At 43.2% G+C, this 19,452-nt stretch overlaps 1 annotated feature.

Moving 5' to 3' along the window:
* Nucleotides 1-250: an enhancer, noted in NCBI's record as "active region_16336". NCBI's record gives its function as "activates an Ori minimal core promoter by ATAC-STARR-seq in GM12878 lymphoblastoid cells {active_cell/tissue: GM12878}" and the evidence as "EXISTENCE:reporter gene assay evidence [ECO:0000049][PMID:35858748]".

Raw genomic sequence — 19,452 nt, 5'->3', positions numbered from 1 at the left:
TCCAGATGCCAGCAGCCACTCCATCTGCTATGCTTCTTCCATTTTGTGAATCAGCATTCTCTCAAATCTGAAAATACTAGTTGCATTCATTTTCAAGTGAGTGTTTCTTGAATTAGCTCTGTTTCCTCAGTTGTCAGTTCTTCTATTTTTAGACTGTTTTCTTTAGGTTTTGATAATCATTGGTCGTTTGGTCACCTGCTTGTTGAATGCTACTTTTGTTTACCACAGCCTACCTCAAGTGACAGGTAGAATCTAGGTAACTTGTCAGTCTGGAGTCAGAAGCACCCACAAGCCACCACCCTGTGTTCCACACACAGTGCCTTGGGCACCTGTGGATAAACTAGACTAAGTAGTAGACACTGCTGGGGCTGGGGTTCTAAAATCAAGACTGTGCTGACAATATGGCCTGGACTCATCTTGAATGCAGGAGCTAGAAAGCAAGAAATGTAGCTCTGATGACAGGCAGGAAAGAACTTGACTGAGTAAAAGCAGATATAAACCACCAAAGAAGATGGGCCGCAGAAACCTGCTTGGGACCTATCTCAGGCAGACAGTATCACGTCTTCTTCCAGCTACAGTAGGGCTTCATGGCATCAGACCCTATGTCTGGAAGTAGTTATTCATTAAATATTTACTGACCATGTACATTATGACAGGTGCTGTGCTCCTCTCTGGGGTTACATACACAAATAGGACATGTCCTTCACACAAGAAGCTCATCATCTATGGGAGGAACACATACATTACAGCATGGTGTGGTAAATGCTACAATGAAAATGTGCACAGATCTATGGGGGATCACACATGGGAGGAGTATGCAGCTCAAAATGAGGAGTGGATCCAGTCTCTCAGGTGGGAGATTCCTGAACTGAGTCTTGAAGACAAATGGGAGTTAGGTAGAAAAGAGTGGTAATTGGAGACAGAAAGATCAACTTTCCAGGCAGAAGGGAGAGTGTGGCAAGATCAGGTGTCTGAAAATAAAACCTTATGACTGGAGGGTTGGCGAGATAAGGCCGTTGAGGTGGACAGAGCTGGGTTACCTACCTCCATGAAGGTTCTTATAACCAGGGAAATGAGCAGGGAGGCGGTGTGTACCTGGTGCTCTGGTTATCCACTGCTGCATAACAGACCATCCAAAACAATGGCTGAAATTAATGGCAGTCATTTCTATTGCTCATGAATCTGCAGTTTGAGCAGAGCTCATCAGGAAATGCTTGTCCTTGCTCCACGTGGTATTCCTAGTTGGTTGGGCTGAGGGTGGGGGGATCTGCTTTCAAGGTCATGGTACTGGTGGTCATCTGTGGGTCCACCCAGTGCTGAAGGCCAGGAACTTTGCTCCTTTCCTCATTGGCCTCTCCCTGGGCCTGGCCTCCCTCACCAAACAGCAGCTGTGTTACCAGGGTGCATGTCCCAAGACAGCTGGGCAGAAGCTGCATCATCTTTTTGACCTCACCTCCAAGGTCACATAGCATCACTTCTTCCTCACTATATTAGTAAAGACAGTCTCAAAGACTACCCAGTTTCAAGGACAGGGGATTGAGACTCCATCTCTTGGTGGTTGAATGGCAAGGTTTTGAAAGAGCCTGTGGGAATGAGCCATTTTTAGGAAATGTAACCCCCACTTCCACCCAAGGCAGCAACTGTGTGGAAGACAGAAAGGGGAGTTTGAGACAGAGGCAAGGGGACCCATTAGGAGACTTATTCCAGTGAGAAAATGACACAGTGAAGAGATGAAAATGTGTTCCACAGTCTCTTAGTCTCTGGGAGTTAGAAAAGGTGGTTCAGAAATCATAGAGCCACAGTCGGCCACGATCTCACCCTCTGGAAGCTCCAGCTGATGTTGTTAGTGCCGGGCTCCTGGTTTCAGGGCCAGACTCTACTGTGGAGAGCTGGCTGGCCTTGGATCCGAAAGTCGCTTTCATGTGCTCCCTCCACATCAGTCAGGGCCATGGTTTCCTTGAAGAAGCCCAGAGTGCAACTCACAAGGTCCTGCTGTTCTCACGATTGGCAGCGACACAAACTGATGGACCAGCTCTTCCCAGTGACTCCAGCACTGCGCTGTCCACAGAAACAAAGCCTCCCTAGAGACTACTGCAGAGGGGGAGCTATGGCCTGAGAGGATGAATAGGTCTGACCCACTTTCAAAACACATGAACTCCTGATAGTGGCCTTCAGGGGAGATGGAGGACCCTCTCTCCAAATGCCTGGCTGTCTATTCAGGATAACATTCAAGAACGCTCAAGAACATTGGAGATGCTTCCTGAGAACGTGCTTTTTTTCAAGTCCACAGGCCTTCAAGGGTCAGAAACTGAGGGGTGTAAAATAACAGTATTCAGGTTGATGGTGAAAGATGAGAACACTTATTAGGAAGTTTCCCATCTATTCCTTCCCAGTCATGCTCATGGATGTCCCTTGCAATTCAAGCAGCATGCAACCTCCTCTCCATCAGCCTAGGATACACTTGTGTTCTCCCAACTGCAGGATGACCCCTTTACCTCTCACTCCCACCAGCAATGAGTGTGCTCATTTCAGGCTCAGACCTGTGACCTAGGCTTTGATTCTGCTGTCATGGTAATGAAGCAACCAAGCTTGGCGGCCAGCAGAGTTCCACCATCTCAGAGACCTTCGGACATGCACGAGGACCACTGAGGCAGACCCACAGAAGGAAATTCAACCTGAAATCGGTACTGAGGTTGGCAGACCAGGCTGCCACAGGCCTTTTCTGGTAGCCAGCAAGATTGAGTCTTCAAAAACTCAAGAGCCCCTTGCCATGGCACACTCCCTCTGAAAGACGTCCACCCCAGGGATTTGTCTGGAGAAGGCTATAGCTGTTCTTTATACTTCTCCCCATTTGAACGCTCTTCCTATGCTGCTCCCTCCCACCATCTCTCTATGCCTAGTTTTGTTTCTTATAAAATAAGAGTGTGGGTCCAAGCAATCTCTAAGGCACCTTCTAGCTCAAAATGTTCCATGAGTGTGTTTCTGCACTGTATGAGTCACAGTTCTCCAAAGAAACGGAAATGATAGTATATAGATAATTGACTCACATGATTATGGAGGCTAGGAAGCCACACAATCTACCATCTGCATACTGGAGACCCAGGAAAGTTGGTGGTGTAATTCAGCCTGAGGCCAAAGGCCTGAGAACCTGGGGGTGCTGCTGGTGTACACCCTGGAACTAGAAGGCCTGAAAACCAGAAGCTCCAAGGCCTAAGGACAGGAAAAGATGGATGGCTCAGCTCAAGAAGGAGAGAGAATTCTCTCTTCCTCTGCCATTTTTGTTCTACTCATGCCCTCAGTGGAAGGGATGGTGCCCATCCACATTGGTGACAGTGGATGTTCTTTACTCTATCCACTGAGTCAAATGCTAATCTCTTCCAGAAACACCCTCATAGCCACATCCAGAAATAATGTTTAATGAGATATCTGGCACTCCTTAGCCCAGTCTGGTTGACACATAAAATCAACCCATCACACACAACTTCCCCAGGCAAAGAAGCAGTGAGTCTTGATAATCACATGAGTGCAAATCTTTGAAGTACATTTTTAAAGAGCAAGAATTGGCTCAAGGTCATCCTGATTAATCCAGTTTCTTGACTTTCTTCTCGCCAATGACTTTTTCCTTTCTTCCTTCTTCGTTACCAACTGCACCACCTCCAAATGTGCAATTCATACATCCTGTTTTCCAGCCACAGTCAGTTGTCCTTCTGGTTCGTTTACTTAATCTTTCAATCTCACTAAGACCTCCCAATTCATTGATCCCTGGCATTTTCTCTTTTTTTTTCATCAATTCTTCTTTACTTTCCATCATATGAAATTTATATCCCACAGTTTATCTTCATAACTATAATAGAGTTTATTTTATCCAATGTGCTTTGGTCTGGCAATTGGTAACTTAAGTAGAAAAAGTTCAAAATGTAATAAAAGTAAGTTAAAGCTGGGAGTTCTTTGAACCATGATTTTAGCTAACAACATAGAAATGGGGATTAATTTGCCAGTCTTTTGAGTTAGGCTCATGCCTTTCCTTTGAGAATGGGTCGGCTGATTAGTTCTGCATTCTTGTTTTATTTTATTAAGTCACTATAAAGGCTCCTCTACAACTTCCAGTTTGGTTTTCTTTAAAATGGAGTGAGCGTGGAATGACATTTGGAAGCCATCTGAGTGCAGCTATATTCTTACAGTAACACGTAAGCCTGAAATAACAGGTGTTGCAACACTTGTAAGCCCAGAACAAACAGAACTAACAGTGGAGCGTGGGTGCTCGTGGAGCCATCTGGGCACCCCAGCCCATAAGTTCAATAAAACCCTCGTGCTCCTGAAGGCCGTTTTAGCCTTTTCGCCTCCGCAAGCCCCTCCCCACTCAGCCTTCTCAGAACTTCCCTTTCGTCTGATGGCCCTGCCTCTATCATTAGACCCAAGGACCTTAGAGCCAAGCAATGCCATAAGAGAGTCAACTGGGTGCCTGATAATCTATTTAAGAATTATGGCCCTAGCAGGAGGACAAATATGAAAAGACTCCCCCATAGAATGGCCTAGAAAAGAGATTAGTTGCATGTAATAAAGTGCAGGTAATAGAAAACAGTCATGACTAGGGAAACAGCAACTGGGTCATCAGGATCCAGGGGGTGGCAGGGAGCACCTGCTGCGAGAGGACAGCCAAGCCTCGGAGGAGCTCACACTTAGCCTGCCAGGGGTTGTAGGCAAGACCCCAGCCAGTGTCTGGGTCGAGGACCTTTCTGATTTTTGTTTTTAATTGAAAAATCCCAGCAGCTGAGAAGGTAAACTCAGAAACCTCCTAGAAAAGTTATACCAACGTTGTTGGGGATGACAATAATTTCTTTGTATGTAAACATTTCCTAATTCCAGGGAGATTTTGAGTTAAATGTAGAAATGTTTAAGAGAATCAAACTGATGGTATTAATATTTTTGAGATTAAAAATCTTGTGCATATTTGGTAGTTCATGTATTTATAAAATTTAAGATAATTGGGCCTGTTAATTTAAAATGCATAATTGAACTTAGGCTTTTTATTCTAGGTTATAATCTTACTAAATATACAGCATTGGAGAATTTAAGAGAATTAAGACTCACTATATTTCTAAGTTTATTAGAATTCCAAGGATTACTTAAGTACTTGGAAAGGTTTATTTGTTAATAAGGTAGCTTAAGTGCTTCAGAAAGGAAATGGAATTAATAGACACATAAAAGTAGTTAAAATACTTAAAGGAGTTTATTTAATTCAATTTAAAAATGAAAGTAGACATTAATCCAAGTAATGAAAAGGACTTACTAAATGCTAAGTTTATAAATAGAGTAAAAAGATCTGCACGCCAAATTTAGAAACTTAAGGAAGAACCGGGGTTTGGTAATTGTATCTTTAGTTTTTAACTCAGCTTTTTTTAGGGTAATCAAAACCCATTCAAAACCCATCCTTGAGGACACAAAACTCTCCCACTGACAGCCTCAGACTTCCTGGGGGACCAGAGGCCATCAGACAGGCCCCCCAGCCTCCTCTGGTCATCAAATCCCCAGGCCGCTACATCTCCCATTCCTTTTTCTTCCAGGTAGCAGCAGCAGTCGCGCTGTGCCACTGTCCCAGCCTCCTCTGATGCAGCTCTGATGCCCTCCCTCTTTAGAACCCCCTCTTCCGTCTTCGCTTCTCCGTCTCCAGGACTGTTTGCCCAAGCGAGTAAACAAGCTCTGGTGTCTCCATCTCAGGAAATGCCCCTCAAGCCCTCCAGCTATTTCTCTTTCTCAGTTCCAAACTTTTCTTCATCCTCCGGTCCCTCCTCAATCTTCTTCAATCTGTCTTTCCCCCTGCTCCACCCAAACTGCTCATGTCAAGGTCACTGGCTTTTCTGTTGCTGTCCCAGGGGGTTTTGTCTCTATCCTCATCTGACTTGACTTCCGTCTGGCCCTCCCTCCCTCTCTCTCTCTTCCTGTCCCTCTAATCCTCTTCTTAGTCTCCAAGTCTAAGTGGACATTGCTTTGAACCTCCCCTTCCTCTTTCTCTGTGTCCTCTACCGGGACAGCCCACTTACTTCCTTGGCTTTAAATGCCATCTGTACCCCGAGAAGTCCCACATTTGGTACCAAGATTGGCACATTGCAACTGTCTTTGACAACTCCCTTTTAGGGCTCAGAGCATCTCGGATTTACCATGATTAAAACTTGGCAAAACGAACATTTAAAACTGAACACTTGATGAACATTTTTCTACTTCGAACTATTTCTGCCTCAGCCTTCTTCAAGCTGGCCAGACCCCTTCCACACTACCTTCAAGCACTGCATGCTCCAAGTTTATCCCCATTTCCTTCAGGGCCCACACAGAGCCTGTCCTGCTTCGTGCTTTGTCTTTGGGAATAACTGGCTCCTTCGAAGTCTCTAAATGTTAAAGAGTTAAATAGTAACTCTTCAAAGAGGCTGTGTTAAAAATTCACTCCAGGGTTAGGTATGGTGGCTCACGCCTATAATCCCAGCACTTTGGGAGGCCGAGGCGGGTGGACCCCTCGAGCCCAGGAGTTTAAGACCAGCCTGGGCAACACAGTGAGACCCCATCTCTACAGAAAATACAAAAATTAGCTGGGCATGGTGGTGTGCATCTTTGGTCCCAGCTACTTGTGGGGCTGAGGCGGGAGTATCACTTGAGCCCAGGAGGTCGAGGCTCACTGAACCGTGTTTGTGCCACTGTACTCCAGCCTGGGTGACAACGTGAGACCCTGTCTAAAAAAATAAAATTTCTATGTCTGTATCTTGGCAACACACACAAAAATAAATGAATAAAATTTCTCTATTTTTGTTTTTAAATCATCCTGATTAAGTTAGGCAGCCACCTCATTTTTGCCTCCCAGTTCGAGCGATTCTCCTGCCTTAGCCCTGAGTAGCTAGGATTACGGCAGGCACCACCACTCCTGGCTAATTTTTGTATTTTTAATAGAGATGGGATTTCACCATGTTGGTCTCGAACCAGGGCCAGGCTGGTCTCGAACTCCTGACCTCAAGTGATCCCCCTGCCTTGGCCTCCCAAAGTGCTGGGATTACAGGCGTGAGCCACCACACCCGGCCCTCTCATTTTCCATCACAACTTTGTTTCTCCATCAATCCATAACTTGCATGATTTGTTTTCTCATATACGGATTCCCATAAAATGCAAGCTCCCTGAGGGCAGAGATCTGTGTATATTTTTTGCTACTGCAACCCATGGCCTAGCACAGGAACCAACATCTCAACAATGGCTCAATGAAGAGCTACAGATGTGCGTGAAAGAGAAAGGGGGTCTAAAGTGTGCAGAGACAGATAAAACTTTCCAGCCCAACTGTCCCAGTGGGGCTGGGTTGCCTGCTCCTATCCGAGAGGATTAAATCCATTAAAGTTACAGGCAGAGGGGAAATGGTGATGGTTAAGGCTACTTTTATTTTTCCTTTTATACTTTTATACTCAAAAATTTTTAAAATACTTTTATTTTTATTGCTCAACTTGGCCAATTTAAATGCTAATTATCTTCTAGCAACAACTTTTAGAACTAATCTCCAGTCTTCTGCTAATTTTCTTTCAGATTTCCACTTTTCCAAATTTGGGTAAACTGGACTCCGTGCACGTCACCTGTGGGTTAAGGTAGCTACAAATTAATCTTTCAAGATGGTACTATATCATGTAAGTTGAATGTACTTTTTAATGCCAAGATGTGTGTTGGTTTGAGGATATGCAGACACTGAAGTTTAAGTTCCCACATCCAGTTACAGACGTGAGATTAAGTTCTAATGGAATGACACTTCCTCTGCACTTTATAAAAGTGTCACAATTGTGATACCCATTAGAATGGCTACCCTGAAAAAAAAAAACAACAACAGAAAATAAGTGTTGACAAGGATGTGGAGAAATTGGAACGCTTATCCACTGTTAGTAGGAAGTAAAATGGTACAGCTGCTATGGAAAACAGTTTGGCAGCTCCTTAAAAATTTAAAAATAACATTATCATATGATCCAGCAATTCCACTTACGGCTGCATACCTCAAAGAACTGAAAGCAGGAACTCAAACAGATATTTGCACACCCACGTTCACAGCAGCATTATTGGCAGTAGCTGGAAAGGTGGAAGCCACACAAATGTCCACTGAAAGATGAATAAACAAAATGTGCTCTATCCGTAGAATGGAATATTATTCAACCTGAAATAGGAAGGAAATTCTGACACATGCTACAATATGGATGACCTTTGAGAACATTATGCTAAGTGAAGCAAGCCTGTTGCAGAAAAGTTAAACACTGTATGATTCCACTTCTATGAGGTACCTAGAATAGTCAAATTCGTAGAAAAAGTAGAATGATAGTTGCCAGGGGCTGGGGGGCTGCAGGGCTGGGGATGAGTTGTTGTTGTTTAATGGGGACAGAGTTTCTGTTTGTGAAAATGAAGAAGTTCTGGAGATGGATGGTGATGATGGTTGTACAACAGTGTGGATGTATTTACCACCACTGAGCTGTGTACAGTTAAAAGTAGTTATGATGGCAAACTTTATGGTATGCATATTTTCCTACAATCTTAAAAAGTATTACGGACCACATCTGGTACCCAACTTAAAGGATTTTTCAAAAGTTCTGTGGTAGATTTAGACAGATAAGAAATAACAGCACTAGCTAATGACATCCTGGGCTTGAAGATCCAACTCAGTGGAGCTCATTCTCAGATGCCATATGGTCTTCAGCAATGGTGGAGACACAGGAGGCCCAGTGGTCTGTCCTCTCCAAGGCTCGCATGTGCAAACTCAAGGTAAATGAAAGTACCACTGAAACCTAGAATATACTTTTTAGCTAATGCTTAAGTTGGCTTCATTAAACGTTGGCTTAATTAAGGGGTGGGTAAGACCTTTCTAGTGACTTAAAGTGGGTTTGGCTTACCTCCAATTAAGCTAGAGAGAAGCCTGCTACCTTATTTTATAGGTTCTCTTTTCCTGTTGTTCATCAGTCAACAAATGTCTGTTAAGCACCTACCATGTACAGAGAGTACATATTAATAACTTTGGGAAAAGTTTAAGTTTTTTGTGAACCATGAAATTGAGAATATTCAATCATTTTGATAAAAAATGGCAATATCATATCAAGTCGAATTGTTGATAGTCTGATGGAGGAGAAAAGACACAGAGAGATACAAGGAAAGCTGGCCAGCGACAATCAAGTGTAGCCCTGGTGCCATATAAATACTGCTGGTCTCCCAGGAGAAGGAGCAGCATGAGAAAGGAGGAGCTGGGACATCAGGGCTTGAAGGCAGAGCAAGTCCCCCATATCACAAAAGTGCCTGGGGAAGAGCATGAACCCGACAGGGAAAGGTGAATGCCTGTGCCAAGCCTCTTTGTGGAATTTCGAAAACACAGTTTCTAATTAGGAGATGTGAGAAACTGAGGTTGGAAGGGAAGTTGAAGCACATTAGCAGTCTGCGGCTTGGGTTGTCTGCTAGTTTGGATCTCATCCTCTATCCCCATGGGACAGGAGGGAACCAGTGAGCCTTCCTTGATGGCAGTGAAGTGATGAGAGTACAGCAGAGGTTCAGAAAGGAAAGACTTCAGAAGAAAGAAATTATAGGATGGCTGTGCCATTAAAAATGACTATTTAGTCTGGCAGAAAGCAGTAAGAAAACAGACCAATTGCCTGGAGGTTGAGAATAGGAAATTTTATGCACTGGGGACCAAGCGGGTGGGTAAGGACCTTATGAAGGAAAAAGGTGGTGCTGGAGTTGGAGGCAGATGTGTGGGGCAGCCGCTAAATGAGAAAGGCAGGAATCAGTGACACAAGTGAGCCTTTGACCCAAGTCACAAGGATAGTCATGGCATCTGACTTGGCTTGACTAAATCCCAAAAGATGATAGAATACTATGTAGAATTTTGCAAGAAAAGAATGTGATGCATGAACCATGTCCAGCTAAGCAAGCGTTTGTTTTCAAGGGCAATATAAAGGCATTTTCAGATATTAAAGGACTCAGAGTACACTGTTCTCTTTTTCTCAGGTTGATTCATTCAGTGCTTTTAAACTAATTTATTGAGCACCTGCTAGATGCCAAGCACTGGTCTATTTAGGCTACATCAGTTAACAAAACAAATATCGCTGCCTGTATGGAACTTCATGCTAGCTGTGTGTGTGTTGACAGAGAGAATAATAACCCTAGTAAGTAAATTATTCATGTTAGAAGTTGATAAGTACTACAGGGGAAAGACGAAAGAGAAGAGGGCAAGTTTCATTATTAATGGGATAGTCATGGTAGACTTCACTAAGAAGGGAACCAAAACATTTTTTCTAGATTACCTAGATTAGGAATTCAGTATTTTGCAACACCAATCTGTTCATTGACTTCATTACATTCTGAAATTTGCAAATCATGTTAACAAGCACTTTTGGTGAAAATATTGACTAAAGAGAAAATTATTTTCTTTTTTTTTTTTGAGATGGAGTTTCTCTCTTGTTGCCCAGGCTGGAGTGCAATGGTGCAATCTGGGCTCACTGTGACCTCCACCTTCTGGGTTCAAGAGATTCTGCAAATTGCTGGGATTACAGGTGTGAGCCACTATACCCTGCCAGAAAATTATTTTCTAATACCACCGGGAAACCAAACAAATTCCAGAGAAGAAATCTTTCTCCTATTTTCCTACCACCAGTATAACCAATATGAATATCTACTTTTACTCAACTTAAATTTGGTTTCCATGCAATTTAAAAATATTCAACTTTTTTCTCTATATTTTTCATCCAGATAATAAAAAAGATGTATAAAAAAGTGAAGAAAATTAAGATTCCTCCAAATGATTTATTTCTAAATGGATTTGTAACCAGTATCACTTTCCCTACCTCAAAAAAAGCACAACCTGAAAGATTTTCCACCACAGATAATCCAAGGCTACCCCACAGTATATGGGTGGGCAGTTCCCAAAGACAAATTCCAAATGCACCTTTAACAAAGACAGCACCTGTTATTCTCCAACACCTCAAGCCACCACTGTCATAGAACTAACGGGATATGAATGCTATTTGGACGTCTGCAGTTTTTATTTTTTTATTTTTTGAGATGGAGTCTTGCTCTTTCGCCCAAGCTGGAGTGCAGTGATGTGATCTCAGCTCACTGCAACCTCCACCTCCCAGGTTCAAGCGATTCTCCAGCCTCAGCCTCCTGAGTAGCTGGGATTACAGGTGTGCGCCACCACGCCCCACTGATTTTTGTATTTTTAGTAGAGGTGGGGTTTTGCCATGTTGGCCAGGCTGGTCTCGAACTCCTGGCCTCAAGTGATCCACCTACCTTGGCCTCCCAAAGTGCTGGGATTACAGGCGTGAGCCACCGTGCCTGGCCGGATATTTGCATTCTGATTGGGCAAGTATTTTAGTTTCATTACCTCAATGTCAAGCCTCCCTCATCTTTTTATTCTCTGCTCTTCACTGCACAGGACAGGACCTCCCTGGCACTTGTGGAAATGAATATTACTGACATCCCATTCCCTGTGGGACTGGATGGAGTTCTAGGTTAAAATCATTTGAACACAGTGTCTCTATGGTACTACATGTAGATGTAGTCTGAAATCTTGTATAAGTCACTACTAGCTTCATTTAGATAATAATTTAGCACATTAACCTATTTTTTTCCTTTTCATTAAGCCCATTTAACCAGCTATACAAATGTGCTAAGTATTTCACATTACGCAGTTTACATTGTCTAAATGTACAACAACGCCTAACAACTCTAATATCCCCCTCAAATGGCTGTATTAAAAAATGCAGCTCTGCACCAGTGTTTTGGAGGTACAGAGTTCTCAGCACTGGCTGGAGGTCAAGCCGCTGGTGAGGAGCACCCAGGCTCAGATGCAGGGTGTGCACCGATGGAGGCGCACTCCACCACCATGAGCACAGGCCTTTGCTTTACACAAGTCCACTGACTTTCTGGACTAGGGGCTTCCTTGGGCCATGACCTAATCTTGGAAGGCCACATGCCCCCACCAACCAGCAGATGCTTGAGGACAAGGCCCTGGTGCCCTGGTTCCTGACCAAATGCTGGCCACTGGAGAGGAGCTCAGGGATTTTTTGAAAGCTGTCAAAGGCGAGCTTTCACACCAGCTGTCAGGCTTGTCTATCTTCAATAGTCATTTAGTGTCAGGTAGCAGGATCTGCCAAAGATAGAACAGCACGAGTCTTTCCAGTGAGTTTGTATGGCTAGTAGCTGTGCTGTGGGAAACCTGATGGAGGTTAAGGCAAGTAAGACAGTTAACAAAAGAGAAAAATAATCACTCTGGGCCTTAAAGATCAGACATTTCTTTCTATATCAGTAGTCCCCAACCTGGATTGGCTTTGTGGAAGACAACTTTTCCACAAACCTGTGTGTGTGTGTGTGTGTGTGTGTGTGTGTGTGACGGTTTTGGGATGAAACTGTTCCATCTCAGATCATCAGGCATTAGTTACATTCTCATAACGAGTGCACAACCTAGGTCCCTTGCATGCACAGTTCACAATAGGGTTTGCACTCCTATGAGAATCTAATGCTGCCACGGATCTGACAGGAGGCGGAGCTCAGGGAGTAATGCTCACTCGCTTGCCTGCTGCTCACTTCCTGCTGTGAAGCCTGGGTCCTAACAGGCCATGGACCAGTAGTGGTCCATGGTCCAGGGGTTAGGGACCCCTATTCTATATGGCCCAAGGAGAAGGACATGCTGTAGATGGCATGCATTGAGAGCAACGTGTTTCCCTAGAGGTTTCAAGTAGACTAGACTAGAACCCAAAGTGCAGGTCCAAACCACCTCATTGGAATCTTCCAGCAGCATGTTAAAAATGCAGATAGAGATTTTTTGGGGCAAGAAGGCCAACTAGATGCAGCCAGGTGGAACAGCTGCCACTGAGGGACCAAGACCACTGGCACAGTCCTAACAGATCTTCAGAGGGAAGGCTGTGAGAGTACATGGAGGGAAGATACAGAAGCTGAGCTGAATGGGGAGGAAGTTGGGAACCCTGAATGGAAGGGCTACTGCACACCAGGACTCACTCCTGGCCCCCAGTGACTCTGGGGTAATGGGTGAATTGAACTGACAAGGAGCAACCTGCTCTCACCACGGGCACCTGGAATCCTGGCAGGAGACCCTTCGACCACTGTGGACACTCGAGTTTGCAGGGAGAGCTGCTTAGAGAAGTGGTAGTGGGGCATGCCAACTGATGCAGAGCCCAGAGGGTTTGGTGTGGGAGCATCTGCAGTGGAGCATGGTCAGGGATGCCCAGCCTCCTAGGCTCGACTTGTTCTCATAGGAGACTTTAGCCCTCTGCGAACTGTCAGACCTGAACTCTGCAGAGCTGTCTTGCCCATCAGACAGGGCCAGTCTGGACCTCAGTGCCCTTGGTCTGCTGGCCTCTCCTGAGGCCCCAGCCTGGCTGAGTCCACTTGCAGGAAAGCCTCAGCTACCTTGGGGGCCCACATCCTGCACTGGTGCACCATGGCTGACTAATGGAGAATTCCAGTGAGGTGTCCCCCACGGCCATGCAGCAACCTGCTTGCTTCCTCCCCCAACAGCAGCTTCCCCAAGGCCCATAGCCACCCCCAACATTGCTTTGCCAGAGTGTGTGTGCCAGCAGGTTTTGCCTTCCCTGCCCTGTCAGTAAGCATGTCTGCATGCATCCAACACTGCCACAGGAGTGAATCTTCTTCAACTAGCTAGAGAGGCCAACATTCAAATTCAGGAAATGCAGAGAACCCCAGTAAGATACTTCAAAATAAGATCAATCCCACAACACGTAATCATCAGATTTTCCAAGGTTGAAATGCAAGAAAGAATGCTAAAGTCAGCTAGAGGGAGAGGGAAAGTCACCTACAAAGGGAATCCCATCAGGCTAACAGCAGACCTCTCAGTAGAAACTCTACAAGCTAGAAGAGATTGGGGGCCTATATTCAACGTTCCTCAAGACACATAATCTTCAACCAAGAATTTCATATCCAGCCAAATTAAGCTTCATAAGAGAAGGGGAAATAAGATCCTTTTCAGATAAGCAAATGCTGAGGGAGTTTGTTACCACTGGGCCCGCCTTACAAGAGATCTTGAAAGGAGCACTAAATATGAAAAAGAAAGACTGTTACCAGTCAACACAAAAATATACTGACGTACACAGAACAGTGACTCTATAAAGCAACCACACAAACAAGTCTTAATAACCAGCTAACATCATGATGGCAGGGTCAAATCCACACATATCAATACCAACCTTGAATGTAAATGGGCTAAATGCCCCAAATAAAAGGCACAGAGTGGCAAGCTGGATTAAAAACAAAAAAACAAAAAACAAAACAAAACAAAACAAAATCCAAGACCCATTGGTATGCTGTATTCAAGAGACCCATCTCACATGTAGTGACACCCATAGGCTTAAAATAAAGAGATGGAGAAAAATCTACCAAGCAAATGGAAAACAAAAAAAGCAGGGGTTGCAATCCTAATTTCAGACAAAACAGACTTTAACAAAAATTTAAAAAGACAAGGGCATTACATAATTGTAAAGGGTTCCATTCAACAAGAAGATGTAACTATCCTAAATATATAGGTACCCAACACAGGACACCCAGATTCATAAAGCAAGTTCTTAGAGACCTTCAAAGAGACTTAGATTCCCATGCAATAATAGTGGGAGACTTCAACACCCTACTGATAGTATTAGGCAGATCAAGGAAGAAAACTAGCAACGATATTCAGGACCCAAACTCAACATTGGACCAAATGGACCAGATAGACATCTACAGAACTCTCTACCTCAAAACAACAGAATATACATTCTTATCTGCACATGAGACATATTTTAAAATCAGCCCCATAATTGGACACAAAATACTCCTCAGCAAATGCAAAAGAACTGAAATCAAAACAACCGCTTTCTTAGACCACAGCACAATAATATTAGAGATCAAGACTAAGGAAATTGCTGAAAACCATATAATTACAAAGAAATTGAATAACCTGCTCCTGAATGACTTTTGGGTAGATAATGAAATTAAGGCAGAAATCACAAAGTTCTCTGAAACTAATAAGAACAAAGATACAACATGCCAGAATCTCTGGGACACAGCTAAGACAGTGTTGTGAGGGAAATTTATAGCACTAAATGCCCACATCAAGTTAGAAAGATCTTAATTTAACAACCTAATATCACAACTAAAAGAACTAGAGAACCAAGAGCAAACCAACCCCAAAGCTAGCAGAAGACAAGAAATAACCAAGATCAGAGCTGAACTGAAGGAGATAAAGACACACAAAAAAATTCAAAAGATGAACAAATCCAGGAGTTGGTTTTCTGAAAAAAAATTAATAAAGCAGATAGACTGCTAACTAGACTAATAAAGAAGAGAGAAGATCCAAATAAACACAATTAGAAATGACAAAGGGGATACTACCACTGACCCCACAGAAATACAAATCATCATCAGAGAATATTATTAATACCTCTATGCACATAAACTAGAAAATCTGGAAGAAATGGAAAAATTCCTAGACACATACACCCTCCAAAACTGAAACAGGAAGAAACTGGATCCCTGAACAGACCAATAATGAGCTCTGAAATTGAATCAGTAATAAATAGCCTATCTAACAAAAAAAGCCCAGGACCAGATGGATTCACAGCTGAATTCTACCAGACATACACAGAAGAGCTGGTACCCATTCCTACTGAAACCATTCTAAAAAATTGAGTAGGAGGGACTCCTAACTCATCTATAAGGCCAGCATCACCCTGATACCAAAACCTGGCAGAGACACAACAAAAAAAGCAAACTTTAGGCCAGTATCCTTGATAAATATTGACACAAAAATCCTCAACAAAATACAGGCAAACCAAATCCAACAGCACATCAAAAAACTTATCCACCATGATCAAGTAGGCTTTATCCCTGGGATGCAAGGTTGGTTCAACATACGCAAATGAATAAATGTGATTCATCACATAAACTGAACTAAAGACCAAAGACAATTATCTCAATAGATGCAGAAAAGGCTTTCAATAAAATTTAACACAACTTCATGTTAAAAACTCCCAATAAATGAGGTATTGAGGGAACATACCTCAAAATAAGTGATCTATGACAAACCGACAGCCTATATCATATTGAATGGGCAAAAGCTGGAAGCATTGCCCTTGGAAACTAGCACAAGACAAGGATGCCCTCTCTCCTATTTAACATAGTATTGAAAGTTCTGGCCAGAGCAGTCAGGCAAGAGAAAGAAATAAAGGGCATCCAAATAGGAAGAGAGAAGTCAAACTATCCCTGTTTGCAGATGACATGACCCCATATCTAGAAAAACCCATAGTCTCAGCCCAAAAGCTCCTTCAGCTGATAAACAACTTCTGCAAAGATCCTTCAGCTTATAAACAACTTCTATAAAGTCAACATACAAAAATCACTAGCATTCTTACACACCAACAACAGTCAAGCCAAGAGCCAAATGAGCAACAGAATCCCATTCACAATTGCCACAAAAAGAATAAAATACCTAGGAATACAGCTAACCAGGGAGGTGAAAGAGCTCTACAAGAAGACCTGCAAAACACTGCTTAAAGAAATGACACCAACAAATGGAAAAAAAATTCATGCTCCTGGATAGGAAGAATCAATATTGTTAAAATGGCCATACTGCCCAAAGCAATTTATAGATTCAGTGTTGTTCCTATTAAACTGCCATTGACATTATTTACGGAACTATAAAAAAACATTTTAAAATTTATATGGAACCAAAAAAGAGCTGAAATAGCCAAGGCAATCCTAAGCAAAAAGAAGAAAGCTGGAGGCATCATGCTACCTGACTTCAAACTATACTACAGGGCTACAGTAACCAAAACAGCATGGTACTGGTAAAAAAAAAAACCAGACATATAGACCAATGGAGGAACAGAATAGAGAGCCAAAGAATAAGGCCACTACACATGCAACCATCTGATTTTTGACCAAGTTGACAAATGACAAGCAATGGGGAAAGGACTCCTTATTCAATAAATGCTGCTGGGATAACCGGCTGGCTGGTGAAGAAGATTGAAACTGGATCCCTTCCTTACACCATATACAAAAATCAACTCAAGATGGATTAAAGACTTAACATGTGAAACCCAAAATTATAAAAACTCTGGAAGACAACCTAGGCAATACCACTCTGGACATAGGAACAGGCAAGGATTTCATGACAAAGATACCAAAAGCAATTGCAACTAAAGCAAAAGTTGACAAATGAGATCTAAATAAACTAAAGAGCTTCTGCACAGCAAAAGAAACTATCCACAGAGTAAACAGACAACCTACAGAATGGCAGAACATTTTCGCAAATTCTGCATCTGACAAAGGTCTAATATTCAGTATCTATAAGGAACTTAAACAAATTTACAAGAAAAAAACCCACCTCAATAAAAAGTGGGCAAAAGACATGAACAGACACTTTTCAAAATAAGACATACATGTGGCCAACAAACATGAAAAAAAGCTCAGCATCACTGGTCATTAGAGAAATGCAAACCAAAACCACAATGAGATACCATCCCACACCAGTCAGAATGGCTACTATTAAAAAGTCAAAAAAGAACAGATGCTGGTGAGGTCACAGAGAAAAAGGAACACTTTTACACTGTTAGTGGGAATGTAAATTAGTTCAATCATTGCAAAAAGCAGTGTGGTGATTCCTCAAAGACCTAAAAACAGAACTACCATTTAACCCAGCAATCTTATTAGCAGGTAAATATCCAAAGGAATATAAATTGCTGTATCATAAAGATACATGCACACATATGTTCATTGCAGCATTATTCACAATAGCAAAGACATGGTATCAACCTAAGTGCCCACTAATTGTAGACTGGAAAAAGAAAATGTGGTACATACACACCACGGAATACTATGCAGCCATAAGAAAGAACAAGATCATGTCCTTTGCAGGGACATGGATGGAGCTGGAGGCCATTATCCTTAGCAAACTAATGCAGGAACAGAAAACCATAGACAGCATGTTCTCACTTGTAAGTGGGAGCTAAATGATGAGAATACATGGACACAGAGGGGAACCACACACACTGGGGCCTACTGGAAGGTGGAGGCTGGGAAGAGGAAGGGGATTAGAAAAAATAATTGGTAGTAGGCTTAGTACCTGGGGAACAAAATAGTCCGTACAACAAATCCCTATGACACAAGTTTACCTACCTAACAAACCTGTACATGTCCCCCTGAACTTACAAGTTATAAAAAAAAAAAAAAAGATGACTGCCCTGTTGCCCTGCAAATCAGAGTCTGAGGAACAGCACAAGAAGGAGCACATTTCCTAATGGCTGGAGGTCCAATGGGCTACACTCAGGAACGGCCGGCTTCCTCAGCAGTGGGAATGCCATCTGCTGGGGGTAGGGGGGAACACAGGTTTTCTGGACACTAGTTGGCTTACTGAACTTTTGCCCAATGCTCAATAGCCACTGTGTCACTTGGGCTGAGAATGTTCCAGCGGGAGGTTCTCATGAGGGGGTTTAGACCTGACTTTGGGTTCTACTCTCATCTACTTGAAGCCTGCGGGGAACATCCCAACATTTGTGGAATACTGGTTGGTTTAATGGACTTCTTTTTCCCACCATCCCACCCTGCTCCCAACCCCTAAGGAGAAAACAAAGATACTTCCTACCCTGAAGAGGATCATTTTTAGGGATGTGAATTCACCAACCACTGCAGGTAAGAAGGCCAGTGCTGAGTATGGCTGAGTGTGGCTTTTGGTTTGGGCTTCTAATTTAAGAAAGACAGCTCAACAGTTTGTTGAAGCAACCTCCCTTCAACACTCGAGGAGTCTTAAGCTTTAAGAAGCAGGGGTGCATTGGCCCTAAGACTGCTAGGGAAGGATCACACTGACGGTCTGAGGCAGTCGGCTCTTCAGGGGGGCCCTGAGGAAGCCCCTGGCTAACAGGGCACCAATGAGTTAGTTCCAAGTGAGAAAAATGTTGAGTAGATCCCTTGACACACGCAGGCCACCCCCAAAGGCATCTGTCACTGTTAGGTAGCACTTGCACAAGCACCCTCAACAGGGCAGCCCCATTTGACTCGGGAGCAAACACATTCAGAGATGCTGAGTAATTTGCTTGAAGTCCCAGGGCCGGTAAGGACAGCTAGGCACTGCCATCGTGCCTGGCTTAAACAGGTAACCAAAGCCTGCAATGCCGCTCCTCAGGAGAGCAGCCAGCATGTGGCAAGACGTTAGAAACGAAATAACCACATCAATGACACAGATGCCAACAATAAACAGTGCTGCATTCTAGTAAGAAAAGGCCAAAACCAGACTCATGTTTATTGAAATGTAAGATTTAAATAATACTTTCAAACTTTTCTATCCTTTCAGTTCTGAACTTTGGTCTTAAGAAATTACTTTGGTATTCTGGTGTTGAGCAGTAGGAATTGTAGAAAAGTAGATTGTAAACTGGTTAGCACATAGAAAGCAAGACACAG

This window comes from Homo sapiens, chromosome 2, assembly GCF_000001405.40.
Source record: "Homo sapiens chromosome 2, GRCh38.p14 Primary Assembly".
NCBI lineage: Eukaryota > Metazoa > Chordata > Mammalia > Primates > Hominidae > Homo > Homo sapiens.
The sequence above is the reverse complement of the archived record's forward strand: the minus strand, read 5'-3'. Positions and strand labels throughout refer to the sequence as shown.